Below are 22,659 nucleotides of genomic sequence, written 5' to 3' on the forward strand. Positions count from 1 at the left end.
CACTTGCTTGAAATCAGAGTTTAGGTTAGGATTTAGCTGCAAGTGTCAACTTGCAAGATTAAACATTTTAGGGGACCTCCAGTCAAAGATAAACTGCTGGAAGGGAGAAGAGCGGGAGAAGGGAAAAATAAAAGAGCCAGTGCTCCCTCTAGTGGGGAATTGTGGAGAAGCATGCAGAGATTCTTGGTGCCCTTGATGCTCAAAAGCTGGAGGATGTTCTCTGCTTGCTAATTTTTGTTTTTTCTTTTATTTTCTTTTTTTTTTTTTTTGAGACAGAGTCTCACTCTGTTGCCCAGGCTGGAGTGCAGTGGTGGGCAATCTCAGCTCACTGCAACCTCAGCCTCTTGGGTTCAAGCGATTCTCCTCCTGCCTTAACCTTCCGAGTAGCTGGGATTATAGGCGCATGCCACCACCCGGCTAATTTTTGTATTTTTAGTAGAGACGGGGTTTCACCATATTGGCCAGGCTGGTCTTGAACTCCTGACCTCAAGTGATCCATCCACCTGCCTCGGCCTCCCAAAGTGCTAAGATTACAGGCGTGAACCACAGTGCCCAGCCTCTGCTTATTAAAGTCTAATTGCTGACTAGAACACTCCAACTGTCTCACCAAAGAGCAAATTAGAGCTCCAACACAAATGAGTGACAAAAAGAATTACTGTCTTCTTCCATTCAGGAGTGTCAGTTGATGTGTAGGACCATATTTTCATGAAGATGTAACAGTAATTAAGTAGGAAAGTACTCCTAATATAATAGAGGTATTTTTAAATGGCAAGAGAACAAAATATCTGGTTTATCTAAATGTGGATATTTACACCTTAGGTCATTACATATTAAGAATTTGAATCTATATGGTGACAGGATTTTTTCAGGTTTATCTCACCCCGATGTTGGGGGAAAAAAATCTCCAGAACTCTATAGTCTCTTGAAATGATTGTCCACTGAAGTTCCACGTATTCATAAAGTGCTCCCACAACTTGCTGACAAGCATAGGTATTTTACATCCTGCCATGAGTTTCAAGACATTAACTCCTTTAGCTATCAAAAATGGATAAAAACCACAGGTGACTGACAAGACTTTCACAAGTGCAGACAAAGGTTTGGATTCAAAGCCTGGTCATATGGTTTGGCTGTGTCCCCACCCAAATCTCATCTTGAATTCCCACATGTTGCAGGAGGGAATCAGTGGGAGGTAATTGAATCATGGGGGCAGGTCTTTCCCATGCTGTTCTCGTGACAGTGAATAAGTCTTATGAGATTTGATGGTTTCATAAGGGGGAGTTTCCCTGCACAAGCTCTCTTCTCTTGTCTGCTGCCATGTGAGACATGCCTTTCACCTTCTGCCATGACTGTGAGGCCTCCCCAGCCATGTAAAACTGTAAGTCCAATAAACCTCTTTCTTCTGTAAATTGCCCAGTCTCGGGTATGTCTTTATCAGCAATGTGAAAACTGACTAATATAGTAAATTGGTCCCAGCAGTGGGGTGCTGCTGAAAAGATACCCAAAAAATTGAAAGCGACTTTGGAAGTGGGTAATAGGCAGGGATTGGAACAGTTTGGAGGCTTCAGAAGAAGACAGGAAAATGTGGGAAAGTTTGGAACTCCCCAGAGACTTGTCGAATGGCTTTGACCAAAATGCTGATAATGATATGGACAATGAAATCCAGGTTGAGGTGGTCTCAGATGGAATTGAGGAACTTGTTGGGAACTGGAGCAAAGGTGACTCTTGTTATGTTTTAGCAAAGAGAGGGACAGGATTTTGCCCCTACCCTAGAGATTTGTGGAGCTTTGAACTTGAGAGAGATGATTTAGGGTATTTGCTGGAAGAAATTTCTAAGCAGCAAAGCATTGGAGAAGTGACTTGGGTTTTTTGGTTTTTTTGTTTTTTTAAGACAGAGTCTCACTCTGTCACCCAGGCTGCAGTGCAGTGGCATGATCTCAGCTCACTGCAACCTCTGCCTCCCAGGTTCAAGCGATTCTCCTGCCTCAGCCTTTGAAGTAGCTGGGATTACAGGCGTGCGCCACCATGCCCAGCTAATTTTTTGTATTTTTAGTAGAGACAGCATTTCACCATGTTGGCCAGGCTAGTGTCAAGCTCCTGACTTCAGGTGATCCACCTGCCTCAGCCTCCCAACATGCTGGAATTACAGGTGTGAGCCACCGCACCCAGACAGCATTCAGTTTTAAATGGGAAGCAGAGCATAAAAGTTTGGGAAGCTTGCAGCCTGACAATGTGATAGAAAAGAAAATCCCATTTTCTGAGGAGAAATTCAGGCTGGCTGCAGAAATTTGCGTAACGAGGAGCTGCATGTTAATCACCAAGACAATAGGGAAAATGTCTCCAGGACATGTCAGAGACCTTTGTGGCAGTCCCTCCCATAACAGGCCCTCAGGTTTAGGAGGAAAAAATGGTTTCATGGGCTGGGCCCAGGGTCCCTGTGCTGTATGCAGTCTAGGGACTTGATGCCCTGCATCTCAGCTGCTCCAGCGATGACTAAAAGGGGCCAAGGCACAGCTTGGGCTATTGCTTCAGATGGTGGAAGCCCCAAGCCTTGGCAGCTTCTATGTTGTGTGGATTCAAAGCCTGGTCATATGGTTTGGCTGTGTCCCCACCCAGATCTCATCTTGAATTCCCACATGTTCAAGAATTGAGGTTAGGGAACCTCTGCGTAGATTTCAGAGGATGTATGAAAATGCCTGGATGCCCAGGCAGAAGTTTGCTGCAGGGGCAGGTCCCTCATGGAGAACCTCTGCTAGGGCAGTGCAGAAGGCAAATGTGGGGTGGGAGCCTCAACAGAGTCCCTACCGGGTCACCACCTAGTGGAGCTGTAAGAAGAGGGCTACCGTCCTCCAGACTCCAGAATGGTAGATCCACCGATAGCTTGCACATGGAGAAGCCACAGACATTCAACGCCAGCTAGTGAAAGCAGCCAGATGGGGGACCGCAAAGCCACAGGGGTGAAACTACCCAAGGCCATGGGAGCCCATCTCGTGCATCAATGTGACCTCGGTGTGAGACATGGAGTCAAGGGAGACAATTTTGGAGATTTAAGATTTGACTGCCCACTAGATTTCAGACTTGCATGGGGCCTGTCACCCCTTTGTTTTGGCCAATTTCTCCCATTTGGAATGGCTGTATTTACCCAATGCCTGTATCTCCATTGCATCTAGGAAGTAACTAACTTGATTTTGATTTTACAGGCTCATAGGAGGAAGGGACTTGCCTTGTCTCGGATGAGACTTTGGACTGTGGACTTTTGAGTTAATGCTGAAATAAGACTTTGGGGGACTACTGGGAAGGCATGATTGGTTTTGAAATGTGAGGACATGCGATTTGGGAGAGGCCAGGGCGGAATGATATTGTTTGGATGGGTCTCCACCCAAATCTCATCTTGAATTCTCACGTGTTGTGGGAGGGACTTGGTGGGAGGTAATTGAATCATGGGGGCAGGTCTTTTCCATGCTGTTCTCGTGGTAGTGAATAAGTCTCACGAGATCTGATGGTTTTATAAGGGGGAGTTTCCCTGCACAAACTCTCTTCTCTTGTCTGCTGCCATGTGAGACGGGCTTTTCACCTTCACCTTTCACCACGGGCTTTTCACCTTCACCTTTCACCATGATTGTGAGGCCTCCCCAGCCACGTGGAACTGTAAGTACAATAAACTTCTTTCTTTTGGAAATTGCCCAGTCTCAGGTATGTCTTTATCAGCAGCATGAAAACTATTATACCTGGTTACTTGCCCCTGATGGGTGAGGGCACCACACTCTTCTCTCCATCCTGGCTTCATGCTCATCTTCTTAAAGATACAGTGTTGGCTCCCATGGGCATCTGCAGGAGGTCTCAGGGGATCTCCCACAGGCCTATGATGACCCAGGCAACTGCATTCCTGGTCTACTACTTCCCCTGGGAAGGTGCTTTTATTCCAAACATAAGCCTTGCAAAAAGCAGTAATAAAATCCTGTGCAAAAAGCAGTAATAAAATCCTGTGAACAATCACCATTTAGCAAATTATCTTCCCCTCTGCTTCAAACACACAGGCAGGCCCACTGACCAGAGTGTACATTTTTTCTGTAGCACTTTTTGGTCAAGGGAATGTGGCTGTGCCATAACCTTCTTCTGTGCTTCTTCTCTTCTCTTCTCTTATTCACCAGAGGATCTCTGGTAATCAGCACAGGTCCTGCTTGATACGTTCTGCATAAAAGTTTATTAAATGAACAGGATAGTACCTTAAGACAAAATTGTCCCTCTGAGGCCAGGCATGGTGGCCCATGCCTGTAATCCCAGCACTTTGGGAGGCAAAGGCAGGTGGATCACCTGAAATCAGGAGTTTGAGAGCAGCCTGGCCAACATGGTGAAACTAAAAATACAAAAAAATTAGCCAGGCACAGTGGCGGATGCCTGTAATCCTAGCTGCTTGGGAGGCTGAGGCAGAAGAATCACCTGAACCCAGGAGGTGGAGGTTGCAGTGAGCCGAGATCGCACCATTGCACTCCAGCTTGGACAACAAGAGTGAAACTCCGTCTCAAAAAAAGAAAAAAAATTGTCCCTCTGATATGGTTTGGCTGTGTCCCCACCCAAATCTCATCTTGAATTGTAGCTCCCAAGATTCCCACGTGTCATGGGAGGGACCTGGTGCGAGGTAATTACGTCATGGGGGCAAGTCTTTCCTATGCTGTTCTTATGACAGTGAATAAGTCTCATGAGATCTGATGGTTTTATAAAGGGGAGTTCCCCTGCACATGCTCTCTTGCCTGCCGCCATGTAAGACATCACTTTGCTCTTCCTTCATCTTCCACCATGATTGTGAGGCCTCTCCTGCCATGTGGAACTATGAGTCCATTAAACCTCTTTCCTTTATAAATTACCCAGTTTCGAGTATGTCTTTATTAGCAGCATGAGAATAGACTAATGCAACCTCTCTCCTTTTCCTTTCTCCATATGTCCCATGAGAGTATAAGCTAAAATAATTAGGGAAAAGGTGAAGTGTGGTAAATATAATATTTTTCTAAGAAGTAACGGCACTAGAAGACAAGCATGATTAATGTCCTTTTGACAATTATCACAAAATAAAAAACAAGAAACACCACAATACAAATATAATTGGGTTTTCAAAGAAACCAAGTTACATGCATACATAGCCACACACTTCATCTGAGAACCTTGGCACCGTTTCTTTTTATTATAGCTAGACACAAGATGCCCAAAGATATACAAAACAAACAATACAAATTTTAAACACTTTTACAAAGGTGACAATATAAAGAAATGAAGACTATGGATTTATGTTTGCAAACATTAATTTCCTTTGAATACTGTCTGGTGTTAAAACCTAACAGTTTACCAGAATTTGTATTTGACACAACTATTTTTAAAATTATAGTGGACAAAACTAATGAAATTCTAATCATCAATAGCCTATGACAAATAACTATTATAATTAAAATTAATACAATCTTCAACTATTCTCCTAAGTACTGTTGCTATAATTTTCTGTTTATTAAAACTTTTTATTTTAGGGAAAAAAACTGACCTTACTGCTATTCCTGGAAAAAGAATTAATAAACTTTCATTAAATATTCAATCTCAACTTTTAAAACTTAAAGCTCTTTATTTCTGCTAATCTGAAACTACTTTTGGTTCACTGCTAACTTTTAAAATATCTTAATCAATGTGATTTAAGGTCATTTTGTCTGCAGAGTGCTCATGTTTTTCATCCTTATACCAAAGCAGTAAGGCAAAAAAGCAGTTCCTTTTCCAAATCAGACAAAGAGAAAATTTCATCCATTTTAAAAGTCAGGAACTAGAACTGCTGCAAATGATCCGACCAACAGGAAATTAAGGCTGCTGTGATTTTCCTTTATATTTAAATCATAAAGTAAGATTAGCAGTGCTATTCCCTGTGAAAGTTGAATTTATAACCTTTGGGCTTGAATCACAGGACATAAATATTGCCATTTCTGTTTATACTTCTAAGACACTGTTTTCACAATCACTTTTGATAAGTTTTTAGATGCAATTAGAAAACACTACACAATGCTGAGAAAGTGCACAACTCTGCTACAACGAGATACATGCTAGAGGTGTAAGAGCAGATTCTAGTGTTCGGTGAGCATTGGCACAGTCTGCCCCAGCCTGGCACACAGATGTACAGGATACACACTACCCAGCATGGCACGTAGTTGGGGAGCAGGGGCTAAGGCCTTTCAATGCTCCAAAGTGTCTGGCCCTTTACTGCTAAAAGCAAGATTCATGGTTTTGCAAGAACCTTTGGGCACCAGCTAGAGTATATCCTGTTTGCTGCAACATTCTTCTTTGAGGCAAGTCCTTCTAGATATGTGAAAGAGAAAAATCATGTAACCTCTCCTATAAAAGATTTCCCAAAATCATTTTCTAGCATGAATGTGAACCAGGCTTCACAGTATATATCTACCAGTATTAGCACCATTATTTAAGCCTGCACTGAGGTAAAGATAAACTCTCAGACAGCTTTGGGTAGAAATTCCAGCAGCAATCTTGAGTGGGGTGTTTACAGCAGCATTCTTTCTGATCATTAAGTTGTATGAAGAACCATTTGAATCCAGGTATATATATACAAGTATATACTGAAGCTGATGATAAAATACAAAGCTAGGCTAGCAGGAGAAATACAGCAAAACAGAACTCTCATTTTAAAATTTAAACTATGTCATTACTGGGTTGATGAAGTCAAAGATTTGATAAAATATACTGAACCAATAGCACAAAGCTGGCTTTATAAACCATCAATACCCAGAAATTTCTTTTTTCAGAGCATGGTCAAGTTTACTGCAGGTGCTACCCATCAACATCCAGAACCTACGTTTAACCAGGTCAGTCTATTTGTCCTCTGCTTGTTACATATTCTGTTTCATAAAAAAGGTGAGTAGCCCTTCCCCAATTATTTTGTATTTGTGTAGGAAAACCTCTCTGGAATTTGTACTTATTTTTATAAAGGATGCAGTGGAAAAGACGTTAAAACTCTGTAAAAAATTTAAAAGGGTACAATATGTTTCAGCAAATGAAAACATAGTTAAGAGATAACCGGACAAAAAGAGGTGATTCTCTAATTTAGTTCCTATAAGCTGATAAGGTGAAACAATAATGTTAAAATAAAACACTTAATGAAAAATTTTCAAATTGCTTTTCCTCTCCCTTTAAAATCCCTCAACATATAAAAGAAATAAGAAAGCTGAGATATATAGCTAGCTTTTTGGAGCAACACAAAACTAATTTTTCAAAGGAGAATAATTACCATTATTTATCAAATAAAATATAACTTTGGAGTCTGAACAGCAATGGAATTCAGCCAGTCTCCAGTTGGAGCTGACCTCCATATTTAGGCAGAAGCACTAGGCCAGTGCTTACTGCTCAGGCAGAAATTTATCATGCAATTTGACCAAGAGTCTTCAAAAATGCTCAGCAGTAGTATTTTCATCTGACTCTGTCGAGATTCAGAAAATAGGAATAACTTCCCCCTGCAACCTATAGAAACATTTTAGGGAAATAGTTTAAGATCTGTACTTAACCTAAAAATTCCGCTGAATACTGAAGACCCTTCTTCAGAAAACACAAGTAGTCTTTCTTCTTTTATAAATCTTCTGGTGCTAACTGCACCTAACTGGTAATATACATGGAGGCATAGCTTAGCTATGTTTGCCAGAACGCTAATTACTATATAAGATCTTTCAGTTCCCTGTCAGTCAGTTCATTCACTTCCATGATCTTCTCTAAGTGTTCCATATATCGGCCATGGTCCTGCAGGAAATGAGGGACCCTCATGTTTTCGGTAACTGCCAATCCTTTTAAGCGATCCACATCTTCATAAGAAACCTGAAAAAAAGGAAGATGAGTTAAATTAAAAATGTAACTACAATGTACATTTTAAGGATGAATTTCTTCCCTGGGCCTTAAATGAAAGTATACAGATCATTTGTCAAATTATTTTAATAGCTGCAAAGTAACAAAAATCAGTGACTTACATTTTCTTCACTGTGTTAAATAATAATGTATTTCTCTGCCCCTTATACCATGACCATATTAAAAGAGTATTATTATTATTTTTTTCCTGAGATGGAGTTTCATTCTTGTTGCCCAGGCTGGAGTGCAGTGGCGTGATCTTGGCTCACTGCAACCTCCACCTCCCGGGTTCAGGTGATTCTCCTGCCTCAGCCTCCTGAGTAGCTGGGATTACAGGCGCCCGCCACCACACCTGGCTAATTTTTTGTATTTTTAGTAGAGATGATGTTTCATTAGCCAGGCTGGTCTCGAACTCCTGACCTCAGGTGATCCACCCACCTTGGCCTCCCAAAGTGCTGGGATTACAGGCGTGAGCCACCGTGCCCAGCCTAAAAGATTATTTTAAAAAGTCAAATTTGATTTAATACTCTACCTTGAACCTACTCAGTTTGTCTAAAAATTAGACAGCCATACTTAATATATTTGTGTGTGAGAGAGACTCTAAAACCAAACAAGTCTTCTGGCTAAATCGAAATAAAAGAATCAAAATAACTAGAATATAAATGACATATTATTAAATTAGAAAAATTAGCACAATTATACAGGGTGAGCATCCCAAATCCAAAAATGCAAAATCTGAAATGCTGCAAACTTTTGGAGCACCCACGTGATGCTCACAGAAAATACTCATTGGAGCATGTGGAATTTCCAATTTGGGGATTTCGGATGCTCAACTAGTAAAGAATGTAAATACTCCAAAATTCAAAAAAATCCAAAATCCAAAACACTTCTAGTCCCAAGCATTTTAGAGAAGAGATACTCAATCCATATATTAAGTTCCTATTTCTCTTTAATTTAGGATACATAATGATTTGTGATTTGTATTACATCTTCTTGCTTTTATTTTGAATTTTTGTAAAAAAGTTCACATCTTTTTAATTCTCCTATTTAAGAAGCTAGTCTCTCACAGGTACTTATATTAGGTTTAAGGATGAAGCTTTTAAAGTTCTATAAATTATCTTTATTCTTAAATTTTTTTTAAGAGATAGGGTCTTTCTCTGTCACCCTAGCAGGAGTGCAGTGATGCAATCACAGCTCAGTGTAGCCTCGAACTCCTGGGCTCAAGCGATCCTTCCCATTTAGCCTCCCTACAGACATGTGCCACCATGCCCGGCTAATTTGTTTTTGTTTTTGTAGGGGGGGGGGGTCTTGCTATGTTGCCCAGGCTGGTCTCGAACTCCTAGTCTCAAGTGATCCTCTCGCCTCCACCTCCCAAAGTGCTGTGATTACAGGTGTGAGCCACAATGCCCAGCCTTAAATTATCTTCAAATTCTAAAACACAGTTGACTTTAAAAACTATAGTCTTCTGATCAATACTCTTCCAGGCTCAGTAGGAAGGCTTTAGGAAAAGAACTCAGCCCGGTGCCAGTGGCCCACACCTGTAATCCCAGCACTTTGGGAGGCTGAGGTGGGATGATCACTTGAGGTCAGGAGTTCGAGACTAGCCTGGCCAACGTGGTGAAACCCCGTCTCTACTAAAAATACAAAAATTAGCTGGGTGTGGTGGCAGGTGCCTGTAATCTGAGCTACTTGGGAGGCTAAGGCAGGAGAATAATTTGAACCCAGGAGACGGGAGGTTGCAGTGAGCCGAGATCACGCCACTGCACTCCAGCCTGGGCGACAGAGTAAGACTCCATCTCACAAAATAAATAAATAAATAGCCGGGAGCGGTGGCTCACGCCTGTAATCCTAGCACTTTGGGAGGCCGAGGCAGGCGCATCCCGAGGTCAGGAGTTTGAGACCAGCCTGACCAACACGGAGAAACCCTGTCTCTACTAAAAATACAAAATTAGCCGGGTGTGGTGGTGGATGCCTGTAATCTCAGCTACTCAGGAGGCTGAGGCAGGAGAATTGCTTGAACCCAGGAGGCAAAGGTTGCAGTGAGCCAAGATCGCGCCATTGCACCCAGCCTGAGCAACAAGAGCAAAAACTCCGTATCAAAAAAATAAATAAATAAATAAAATTAAAGAACTCATGTTCATATTATATCTATATTTTATGAAGGTTTTTAAAGTTTTACTATTAATATTATTTATTTGGTATTTATACCACTAAATGTAATCAAAATAGGTTTGTTGATATTGGTATGGTTTAATAATTCTTAAACTATTCTTGGTTTATTATAGGAAAGATTAAATATACTGACATTGAGAAACAAGGTTCTCATTTTAAGAGATGGTAAATACAAATATGGAATGGCAGAGGAGGTATGAAAGAATCTTGTAGGGTCTGATGTGAATTGCAGTGCCCTTATGATTTAACAAATAGATATGATTTGCTCACTGAAAAGGTCTAGAAGCAAGAGTACCCCAGTAGCAAGGAACACACCAAGAACTCAGCTCCTGTTTTTAAAATACCAATTAAAAGGAAACAAGACTTCATTAGAGAAATGGCTGATCTGAGATTTGGGTAGGAAAAGTACAAACTGTGCCCAGACATTTTACTGTGTCAGAAAACATGGAGACATGTTTAAGACACAGGCACAGCCATGAAAAAGTTGAATAAAGTAAGTCCAATTAAGTCCATAATAATACTACAAAAACGGGGAGTGACAAAGAAATATAAAAGAATTAGAAGATCTCTATTTTGTTACCACCAGTGTAATTGATTTGGGAAAAGATCATCAAGGGTTATTAGGGAATAGTCCATTCATAAATATCACCCCAAAGACTATTTACTAATACAATGGGGGAAAGGTACTTTTACAATGGGGAGATCTGGTGGTCACTAACTTAACCCAGGTGATCAAACACAGCAGGTTATCAAACACCCAGATGATCAAATGGAGCAAAATGACACGTACTTTCTAATGTGATGCAATGGGAAATACACATCACTTATGTAGTATTCTTGGCAAAAATGTTTAACCTGAATCTCATCAGAAGGAAACAATCTGATAATCCATATTGTAGGAATTCTCAAGAAAACTGTGCCGATCTTTTTTTTTTTATTTTTATTTTATTTTATTTTATTTATTTATTTATTTATTTATTTTTCTGAGACAGGGTCTGGCTCTGTCTCCCAGGCTGGAGTTCAGTGGTACGATCATGGCTCCACTGCAGCCTCGACCTCCTGGGCTCAAGTGACCCTCCCACCTCAGCTTCCCGAGTAGCTGGGACTAAGGTGTGTGCCACCATGCCCGGCTACTTTTTAAAATTTTTTATAAAGACAGGGTTTCCCCATGTTGCCCAGGCTGCTCTCAAACTCCTGGCCTCAAGTGATCCTCCTGCCTCAGCCTCCCACCTTGGCCTCCCAAAGTGTTGGGTTTGCGGGCGTGAGCCACCCTGCCCAGCCCGAGTCTTAACAATGTCATGAAAAAAAACAGAAAGAATGAGGCAAGGGGAGACTATCACAGATTAAAAGAGACGAAGGATTATAACCAAATGCAATGTATAAATCTTGATTGGATCTCAGATCACAAAAAAGGAGCTACAAAGGACATTTTGGAGGCACTTTGGAAAATTTGAAGTGGACTCTATTTTAGATGTTATATTTAATAAATCTCTTTTTATTATTAACAAAATCATGTCGTAATGTCAGAAAATATCCTGTTCTTTGGAGATATTATGGGGGGAAGTGTTTTAGGTGCAGCTTACTTCAAAATGCTTTTTAGAAAAATATGTATACACAAATACAAATAAAACAATATGTATTCCCAAATTTCCTATTCCTTTATCTCTTATTGACCATAAAGAAATTTTACAATTTGGTTATATTACAGAACCAGATTTCTTCCCTCTTGATACGACATAAAGAAAATTTGTTCTGACAATAAACTAAAAATACTGTGAAGCTAAGTCTTATTTAATGCTAAGCTTGAGTGAGGGGAATGCTGATCTGGGGTGTTCGGGGACTATGTGCCATGGCTTCTACTCACCTTCCCGAGAGCAGTCAGCAGATGGAAGTCTATGGTATCTCTGTATCGGAGGATTTGAAGAATTCCATCCAAGTATACCTGGTCTTTACTAAAACACCCTGGAGGAACCAGAATAGTGTTTACTTTCTGATGTTCAGAAAAATTACTAAGTAGATATCAACCCATTCCATTTACTGTAGGAATCAGTCCTGTATTAAAAATATTCTAGTTTGCCAACATTTATTTTTATTTTTATTTAACTATCTTCATTACATAAAATGTCAGGTCTTGGGAAGTGCCAGGATGGTATGCAGACTAGACCCTTAAGAATTCCTTCTCCTCACACATCCTCCCCGTTATTAAAATAACAATTCTTTCCTCACTATAGAGACTGGTAATTTTAAATATATGAGTCTTAGAAATATGATTATCCCACCTTCCCCTACTCCCACCGTTCAGTCATAACTCCCATTGTGCACTGAAGGCATCTGAGTGGGGAGGCCTGAGCAGGATAGTTTTAGAGCAGGTACATCTCAATAAAGGTAGTGGAGAGACGCAGGGTTTTAGAAACTCCTGGTATTTAGAATATTAATAATCCTCACCCTCCATTAAACAAAAACAAACTGTGGTTTTAAAGCATAAATTTGACATTAGTTCCTCTCTATGTAAACAACTAGAACTAGATTTTGGAGAGCATGTAGGTTTAAAAAATAGAAAAAAATGGATAAAGACATGAAAAGTAGAACATTTCATGAATCTGAACGTAGTTAGAAAAGGATGTTCTGTTTACACAGTGAACCTTTTTCCCATCCTGACATAATTTGTGTAATTTTTAAAAAAATTTTGCTCTATTAAATTAATTAAAATTCTACCACATGGAGTCATATATTAAGGAATTATTGTTAATTTGGTTAGGTATGCCAATAGCATGAGGATGATTTAAAAAATTGTCCTAATCAGAGACGCACATTGAAATATTTATGGGTAAAAGGACATGATGTTGGAATTGGCTTTAAAATAGTATAGGAAAACGAATTTGGAAGAATAGACGAACCACAGTTAGAAAATGTTGATAATAGCTATGATCAGGTAATATATTACTGGAGTTCAGCATATTAATCATTCTTTTGTATACATTTGAAATTTTCCATAATAAAACATGAAAAACACAGAAGTATGTGAAAAAAAGAAAAAAGGGACTAGTCTAAAAATGATGAGCCTCCACGGGGTGGGTATCAAAGGCAACATGGAAGCCCTGTGCATCTGGGTACAGAGTACTAAAATCCAGGCAAAGGAATCTAAAAAGAACACTCAAAAATGCCCTTGAAAAAAAGAGTACAAATTAAGAAACATTTGTTTAACAGTCATTTTGAATTTCAGGTTAGTTCAGTATATCAACAAATTTTCTTCTAAGAGTATTGAGAAGAGTATTCTAAGAAATGGCAGACACGTTGCTTATCTGAAATCCCGCCTGGAATTGGCTATGCACACATGAAAGACAGGAGAGAGATGTCCTTCTCTTTCCTGCTTCCTATCTTCCCTGCTCCTGGCTCTAAGGCACTACGCTGTCATACGATTACAACACTAGTATGAAATGTTAATGTGGGCTGTGCTAGCAACATAACCATCACTAATTTGAGTAAGTATTTACCAAGCTCCAAATAAATAGTTTAAAAACCCTCTTAGGCTGGGCATGGTGGCTCACGCCTGTAGTCCCAGCACTTTGGGAGGCCGAGGCGGTTGGATCACCTGAAGTCAGGACTTCAAGACCAGCCTGGCCAATAGGGTGAAATCCCGTCCCTACTAAAAATACAAAATTAGCTGGGCATATTGGTGCATGCCTTCAGTCCCAGCTACTTGGGAGGCTGAGGCAGGAGAATCACCTGAACCCAGAAGGCAGAGGTTGCGGTGAGCTGAGATCGCACCATTGTACTCCAGACTAGGTGATAAGAGTCATACTCTATCTCAAAAAAAAAAGTAGAGACTGCCTCTCTAGATTCTGCCTCTCTGGGCAGGGCATCTCTGAAAGAAAGGCAGCAGCCCCACTAAGGGGCTTATAAATAAAACTCCCATCTCCCTGGGACAGAGCACCTGGGGGAAGGGGTGGCAGTGGGCACAACTTCAGCAGACTTAAACGTTCCTGCCTGCCGGCTCTGAAGACAGCAGCGGATCTCCCAGCACAGTGCTCGAGCTTTGCTAAGGGACAGACTGCCTCACAGCAATAAAATGATCAAAATATTGATACATGCTACAACATGAATGAATTTTGAAAACATGCTAACTGAAAGAAGCCCACCACAAAAAATCACATATTAGATAATTCTATTTCTATAAAATGTTCAAAACAGGTAAATCTAGAGATGAAAAGAACACCAAAAGCAGTTGCTTAGAGCTGGAGAGAGGGGAGGAAATGGGGAATGAATGCTAATGGGTATGGGTTTCTTTTGAGGTAATGAAAACATTCTGGAATTAGACAATGGTGATGGTTGTACAACTCTGAATATTCTAAAAATCACTGAACTCTACATTTTAAATGGGTAAATTGTATGGCATGTGAATTATATCTCAGTATAGCTGTTTTTTAAAAAGTCAAAGACAGAGAAAGCAAAAAAAGCAAAAAAAGAAATGTTAACAATAAGTGAATCCAGATGAAGGGTAGATGGGTGTTCATTCTAAGATTCTTTCCATATTCTATAGGTCTGAGATTTTTCAAAATTGAGCTGGGTAAAAATAATGCTAAGAAAATGTGGTTTGGGAAAACCAGTTCTGACCTCAGGTAACAAAGATTTCATTTTTTTAAGTAAGTGAATTTTGTGATTCAGGGATTAGGATATAAACAAAATCACTAGACAACTAGTCAGTAAGTCAGAAAACCTAGAGTTAAGGGACACCCACCTGGTTGGGAAGTATCAGTCCATCCCCTCTTGGCCCGTACACAATAATCCCATCTTGTATTGGGGTCCTTGACAAACCTGCCAATATCTTTAAAGAGTTCACAAAAAGACATTTGGCTGGCTTGATAAACAGTGTAGTAGAGGAGGGCAGCCCTCCATAAAAAAGGGTCTTTTCTAAACAGAACACTGTGAATGCTTGCTAGTCCTTCCTCTGTGGGATTATTTGGCTTTAGCTCATGTTTTTTACGTCCAGTCCAACTGTTCCATGGCTGCTGGAGGTTGTTAATACCTCGAAAATAATGTGTACCTATGGAGAAGAAAAGTTACATGAAGAAAAAGAAATGCCATTCTTGTTTTAATTCTTCCCCCAAAGTTAGATTCCATCAACAATCCTAAAACCAGCCAGGCGCGGTGGCTCATGCCTGTAATCCCAGCACTTTGGAAGGCCGAGGCATGCGGATCACTTGAGTTCAGGAGTTGGAGACCAGCCTGGGCAACATGGTGAAACATGTCTACCAGAAATACAAAAAATTAGCTGGGTGTGGTGGTGTGCACCTGGGGTCCCAGCTACTCAGGAGGCTGAGGTGAAGAGGATCACTTAAGCCTGGGAGGCAGAGGTTGCAGTGAGCTGAGATCCTGCCACTGTGCCCAAGAATGGGCGACAGACCGAGATCCCATCTCAAAAAAAAAAAAAAAAAAAAAAAAAAAAAATTCTAAAGCCAAATTGATGTGTGCCTACAAATCAAAACAAAGTAGAAAATGACCTGATCCTAACATCTCTTGGGTGTGAAGGAGTACACTGCCTTCAAAAGGATCACATGTCTCAAGAGAGGAGGTATAACCTTTATAACAATTTACTTTTTTAAAGAGAAGAATCACAGACTTAATATTTGAAAAGAACCTCAAAGATACCTTAATTCAACCCCCTCAGTTTAATGTAGGGGAAATCCAGAGCAGCTAAATGACTTTCCAGGTTCAATACACCTAAACACTTCCCTTAAAAAATCTAGTTTGAAATGAGACATAAATACATTAGCTTCAGTCCAAGTGAAGCTCATGACTTCTTGCTAAATTTTCTTCTACTAAGAAAATAAAATAAATACTACTAAGAAAAAACCCCTTCTAAAAGAACATTTCTTTAGAGCTAATTCCTGATATTACAAATAAACAAATGGAAAGGATTGCCCCTACCTATTTCATGCCTCAGCATTCCCTCCAGCCAATGCTCACGTGCAGTGGACACATTGATAGTCAGAGTCGGACATCCATTTACTACTGTCATTGACGCTCGGGAAAGCAGGTCCTCAGTGAGATGAACTACAATCTAAGGGGCAAGAGAAAAAGTACACAGACATAAAACAAAACATAAAGGTAAGGGGAGAAGCTTTCACAGAAAACAATGGGCCTGTAAATTAACACTGTTTTTTGTTTATAACCACCTTAAATCTCCCAGAAACCAAGAAGGAATGTGCAGCCAAACCACCTGTGACCCTTCTAATTTTGACCCTTTGGGAACTCAAGAACCTTCCATGAGTTTAAGGGAAAGTAGATGGCTGTGCTGAGGAAGACACGAAGGACTTAAAACTGTACCTCTGAGGTGTCGTAAATACGCTCCCTGACTAAACTGATGCAGAAGAAGATACAGGTGCCAGAATCCAGCTCATTGGCAGCACCAAGGCTTTGAGACTGACCACTAAGAAGACTAATAAGAGAGGCTTCTCGGGCAAATCTCTTCATTAGCAATTTTCATAAAGTAATTCATCTAATCCCACAAGTTATACAGAAATGGCAGTAAGAAAAACAAAAAGACACTGAACACATCAAAACAATTCAATGCAACAGGAACTTAACAGTATTGAGTAAGAAATCTGGGCGACTAATTTAATGAGTAAAATAGTTGGGAAAACAAAATCTACAGAAAAGAACTACGACTAGGCTGGGTGCAGTGGCTCATGCCTGTAATCCCAGCACTCTGGGAGGCCAAGGCAGGCGGATGACCTGAGGTCAGGAGTTCGAGACCAGCCTGGCCAACACGGCAAAAACACTGTCTCTACTAAAAATACAAAAATTAGCTGGGTGTGGTGGCTGGTGCCTGTAATCCCAGCTACTAGGGAGGCTGAGGCAGGAGAATCACTTGAACCCAGGAGGCGGAGGTTGCAGTGAGCCGAGATTCACCACTGCACTCCAGTCTGGGCAACAGAGCGAGACTCCATTTCAAAAAATAAAATAAATAAAATAAAATAAAATAAACTATGACTGTCAATGACAGTAATTCCTTGTGTTCACTCGCAGTTCATACCTCCCCTAGGCAGCCTTCCTTCATCATGTACTTCCTAACGTGACTCCAGATTCGAGTTTTAGAGAGCAAGCTACCACCAGTGGCTTGTTCAAATTTTTCATAACTTCCATATTTCTGTAAAGTCAGTTCCATAATATTGATAGACTGTAAAAGAAAGAGAGATAATGAAAGTAAACAGCCTCATATTACTTTGAGATGTCATAAGCTAGCTATGTTATTTATTGTGACCTATTCTAGGTTTATTGATTTCCAAATTAAACTGCAACTGAAGTGCCAAACTTTTCTAATCCTAAACAACTTCCACTCATTTTCGCAAATTTGTACAAATGCCTGTACACTTTAGCAATACGAACTCTTCCCCTGTGTTCATTTCTCCTTAACATGCTGACAGAGGGCTCAAGAACTGCGTATCTCAAGTGCTAACATCTGATAGGCTGAGAAGCTGGGGAGAGGGGCTCCTGGCTTCTCTAAGATAATTTGGTGGTTTGGCAGGAGAACTCAGAGTGGAAGGTATGTCTCCACGCAAGTAAATAGATTACCATTGCCCTTTGAATGAGAAAAAAAAAATTTCAGAATTTTAAGAACACACATAAGAATCAATCAGTCTGACCCCAAAAACTATTGAAATAAAAATTTTAAAAAAATTTTTTTAAAGAATTGGCCAGGCATGGTGGCTCATGCCTGTAATCCCAGCACTTTGGGAGGCTGAGGCAGGCGGATCACTTGAGGCCAGGAGCTCAAGACCAGCCTGGTCCACATGGTGAAACCCTGTCTTTACTAAAAATATAAAAAAATAGCCAGACATGGTGGCACATGCTTGTAGTCCCAGCTACTTGGGAGGCTGAAGCAGAAGAATCCTTGCACAACCCAGGAGGCGGAGGTGGTGGTGAGCCGAGATCGCGCCATTGCACTCCAGCCTGGGCAACAGGAGTGAAACTCCATCTCAAAAAAAAAAAAAAAAAAAAAAAAAAAGCAATCAGTCTTCTGCAACAATCTATCTATTTTCCTGGGCTACTCTTTGGCAGAAAACAAATTCTCAACATTAATAAAAATATCTGTATCTTTCAGTCAAGGCAGGATATTATCTACTTTTCATTCTTCATAAATTTTTGCAGCAAAGGAATAAGAAAGTTGAGATATTTTTTCACATATGCACAAATTAACACACATATGCAGAATGGAGAACTAAAAATAACTGGTAAGGAATCACAAATTATCAGTATCTATGGGAAAGTCATAGAAAGGAACACCTGAGGAAAAAGAAAATTGCTTTTCAAAGGCCTTTTGGGAAAAAAAGCTACAAAATTCAACTCTATCTTACATGAATTGTGTAAGAACCTAGGGAATTCATATACATGTCATATAAAGTCTGTAGTTTCTGAGCTGTCAGACTAGTGAAGAGATTACATGTACAAGATCTGGAGTTGATGCCATGGCTCTGTCCTCTTCTGGCTGTGCTATCGTGAGCAAGTCACTAAACTTGTTTATTACTCTTATTATTATTATTATTATTATTAGACTAGTCCAGTGCAGCAGTGAGAAAAGGGAAAAGAGTAGAGCAAGGAGTTTGACCTGTAACTGATGTGAACAATCAATTGAGATAACTCACTACCTTCTGACTGGCCTCAGCCTCCTCATTTGTAAATGAGGATAACAATAATAACATCTACTTCATGGTTTTATTGAGAAAATTTAGTTAACCTTTATAAAGCATGGTGTCTGTGACATAATAAGTAGTCAATACATATTATCTATTATATCATCATTGGTATGTTACCACTGAGGACTAAACTCTGATCTTTGTTTTCCTCTCTTGCCCAAATTCCTATCTAAAGGGCCAGCAGGCTCATGCCCTTTAAACCATAAAATCTCATAAGATGGGTCTTATTTAACCCTATATAGTGTGGCTTACTTTCCAACCTGACTCTGGCATAACATCACAAGACTGATAAAGAAGGAAATAAAAATATTTTACCCCAAAATATGTTTCTTTGCCATATTTTGAAATGGCCCTGCAAAGCTCTTTTGTGGGGGTAAATTCTGCATCTGTTGAATCTCTATAACATAACCTGACCTTTCCCTTTCCAGGCCCTCCCAGTCCTGAAGACATCAACTGAGAGTCTAGCACCTTTTTAATGTATTTATATATTTTTGTTTCTCTGGATACAGTGTCTTGCTCTGTCACCCAGGTCGGAGCACAGTAGCGCGATCATGGCTCACTGTAGACTCAACCTCCTGGCCTCAAGGGATCCTCCCATCTCAGTCTCCTGAGTAGCTGGGACAACAGACATACACCACCATGCTGGCTAATTTTTAAAATTTTTTGTAGAGACAGTCTTGCTGTGTTACCCAGGCTGGTCAATTCCTGGCCTCAAATGATCCTCCCACCTCCACCTCCCAAAGTGCTGGGATTACAGGTATGAGTCACCATGCCCAGTCTCTAGCAACTTTTATTTTTATTTTTAATTAAAAAAAAAATAGAGACAAGGTCTCACTATGTTGACCAGGCTAGTCCTGAACTCAAGGTCAAGTGATCCTCCCATCTCAGCCTCCCAAAATGCTAGGATTATACATTTTAAAGGTTTGAATAAGAAACATTTGTCATCTATTATCTCTAAGGGTGGCCACCTATGAGACTTCATCTATGTAATAAGAACCTTGGCCTCTAGCCTCCCTTAACTTAAACCAAATACTCCTTTCTATTGATTCCAGGTTTTCAGATAACTTAACTCTTTCAATCAACTGCCAATCAGAAAATCTTTGAATCCACCTATATCCTGTAAGCCCCCTCTTTGAGTTGTCCTATCTTTTTAGACCAAACCAATGCATTCCTCACATGTATTGATTGAGACATAAGATGTTTCCCTAAAATGTATAAAACCAAGCTGTAACCCAACCACCGTGGACACATCTTCTCAGGACCTCTTGAGACTATGTCTCAGGCCATGGTCCTTCATATTTGTCTTAGAATAAACCTTTTTTTTAAGTATTTTTACAGTTTGTCAACACCATTCTCTATAAATAACACCACTGTAGGTAACATGCCTGAAACAAAAATTACAAGAAAGCTCACATACTGCAAGTCATAATTCAACATATATATCACTAATTGAAAAATATACATTACTAATAAGCTAGGCATATATCATTAAGTTATCATAATAAGAAATGGCTTCAATAGGCTTTGCCTGGCTTCTGGTCCCAAAACTGTTACTGAAAGCCTTGCTATTCAAAGTATAGTCTGAAGGCCAGCAGCACTGGCGTGGCATGGGAACTGGTGCCAAATGCAGATTTTTGGCCACTTACCACCTTCATGCCTATTGATTCAGAATCTGCATTTTAACAAGATCCCCAGGTGATTCAAGTGCATGTAAAATGTGAGAGGGATTTCAGAGAAGGGCAAATACAAGTGCTCCAGAAGCTGATTAATCCATATGACAACTAAGACAATTAAAAGCACAAATTAGCATATAATTAAAAACCCATTTTAGCAGATTAGCATACTTTGCATACACTAACCTAATAGTCACCAGTTATCCATGTATCAAAGAGTGAGAAGAATGTGACAAATGTGGCCTGAAGAATTGCAGAAGAGAAGTGGTACCTTGTATTAATATATTGAACTGTGAAGACTTAAAAATGGTTAAAAATTATCTCTAAGAAGTATTATGATTTCTGCTTATAGATATTTTTTTTATTTTCTTGAAACGGAGTCTCACTCTGTTGCCAGGCTGAGGTGTAGTGGCACGATCTCGGCTCACTGCAGCCTCCACCTTCCAGGTGTTGCCCAGGCTGTTCTCAAATTCCTGAGTGATTCTCCTGCCTCAGCCTCCTGAGTAGCTGGGATTACAGGCATCTGCCATCATGCCCGGCTAATTTTTGTATTTTTTAGTAGAGATGAGGTTTCACCATGTTGGCCAGGCTGGTCTCGAACTCCTGGCCTCAAGTGATCTGCCTGTCTCGGCCTCCTAAAGTTAGTGCTGGGATTATAGGCATGAGCCACCGCGCTTGGCCTGCTTATAGGTCTTTTAAAGCATGTACTTAATTTCAGATAAAATTATAATAGCTTTTCTAAGGCATATGCTTACTCGGTAGGAAAATGTGGTTATCTGGTTATTTCTTGTAGCAAATATAAAAGTCTAGAGAATTATGAAAAACTTAAATACACGTGTTCCTTGTTATCACAGATCTCAGAATGAATGACTAAATCAAAGAATGAATAAAAGCAGTGGGATTTTTGTTTGTTTCTTTGCTGAGGGAATGCATTTCTTCTATCACAATGGTACATAACAGCATATCACCTCCTTTGTTTCATCTTGACTTGCACGGCACCACCATAGCGTCAACACTTAATGGGAGCTACATCAATGTTCCTAAAAGGCAATCTTAATATTCAGCTTTAAATATTACATTATATTCAATCACTCTTCTCTGAATGTCTAGCCTTTCATTATCTTGATTCTTTTCTTCATCAGTTTTTCAACTGGTCCAACACAGACAGACTTATCAGTGATCTGCAGCATCCTTCACTGATCCTAAGAAGTAACCTCCCCCCATCTGCATTATAATATCCTACAGCATAGAGATAGCGACAGTAGCTGAATTGGTGAAATAAGTTCAAGCTTGAAGAAAGAAATCACGTTGAATGGCAATGAGTCAATCACTTCATCAGTGAATATTTTGTTACAATGATTTCTGCTTCCTTATACAACTTCTTAACTGCAGGCCAGATATTTTGAGTCTAATCCCAATTTTGGAAAAAGGAAACAGTAGCTTTAAAAGGCACAGGGAAGCTTGGAGGAATATACTGAAAGGCTGAAGTTCATGTCTGGGAATCAGATGATTGATGGGTTACACTGATGTTTATTATTTGTATTTTTTCAGAAGTTTTAAAATTCCTCACAATATGTAATATGTTAGTGCTATGATCAGAAGTAAAAAGTTATTTTATTTTAAAAGGGAGAAAAAAGGTAGTTTATCCGCTCCCCCTAGAGTTCAGAGAATCAATGTTTACACCACTTGAAGAATCAGGCATTCACACACCTGCACATGGGTAACACTTTTAGAGGCAATAAATTTCATGTCAAACCTCTCTCTTCTCCATTATATCATCACTTATGTTAATAAGAAAAATACATCTCCCAATATAATATATAACTCCAAAGAAAAAGAATGGGTAAGAAGAAAAAAGAGATGTGATACATTGCATTCCGGGATATGTGGTTCCCTTACTTGAAGTCCTATAGCCAAAGGTAGACTCCTGATTGTAATACATCATGGGAAATGCAGGTTTTAATTTTCTGCATTGCTATAATCTGAATATTTATGCCCCACCCACATTCTTATTTTGAAATCCTAACCCCCAAGGTGAGGGTATTAGGAGGTAGGGCCTTTGGAAAGTGATTAGGTCATTAGGGTAGACCCTTCATGACTGTGATTAGTGCCTTTATAAAAGAGGCCCCAGGGCTCTTTAATACAGTGGCTCATGCCTGTAATCCCAGCACCTTGAGAGACCAAGGTGGGATGATCACCTGAGGCCAGAAGTTCAAGACAAGACCTATGCAACATCTGCCTCTAAA

General features: G+C 40.0%; 1 protein-coding gene across 10 annotated transcripts in view; it reads right to left on the reverse strand.

Annotated features, from left to right (window-relative positions):
- Positions 1 to 5,078: 5,078 nt before the first annotated feature.
- Positions 5,079 to 22,659, reverse strand: part of MATCAP2 (microtubule associated tyrosine carboxypeptidase 2) — a 66,206-nt gene continuing 48,625 nt past the window's right edge. For 6 of the 10 annotated variants that reach the window (XM_024446701.2, NM_001300956.2, NM_001199708.2 and 3 more), the window contains 5 exons: positions 17,081 to 17,224; positions 15,973 to 16,105; positions 14,783 to 15,088; positions 11,909 to 12,006; positions 5,079 to 7,845 (listed from right to left, as the gene is read on the reverse strand). In XM_024446701.2, the coding sequence (XP_024302469.1) occupies positions 7,687 to 7,845; positions 11,909 to 12,006; positions 14,783 to 15,088; positions 15,973 to 16,105; positions 17,081 to 17,224 (840 nt within the window). In that variant the 3' untranslated portion in view covers positions 5,079 to 7,686. The remainder of the gene's footprint in view (positions 7,846 to 11,908; positions 12,007 to 14,782; positions 15,089 to 15,972; positions 16,106 to 17,080; positions 17,225 to 22,659) is intronic. The other 4 variants (NM_001100425.2, XM_024446702.2, NM_015314.3 and 1 more) reach the window with 1 other exon arrangement.

This window comes from Homo sapiens, chromosome 7 (genome assembly GCF_000001405.40).
Source record: "Homo sapiens chromosome 7, GRCh38.p14 Primary Assembly".
In the NCBI taxonomy this organism is placed as follows: domain Eukaryota; kingdom Metazoa; phylum Chordata; class Mammalia; order Primates; family Hominidae; genus Homo; species Homo sapiens.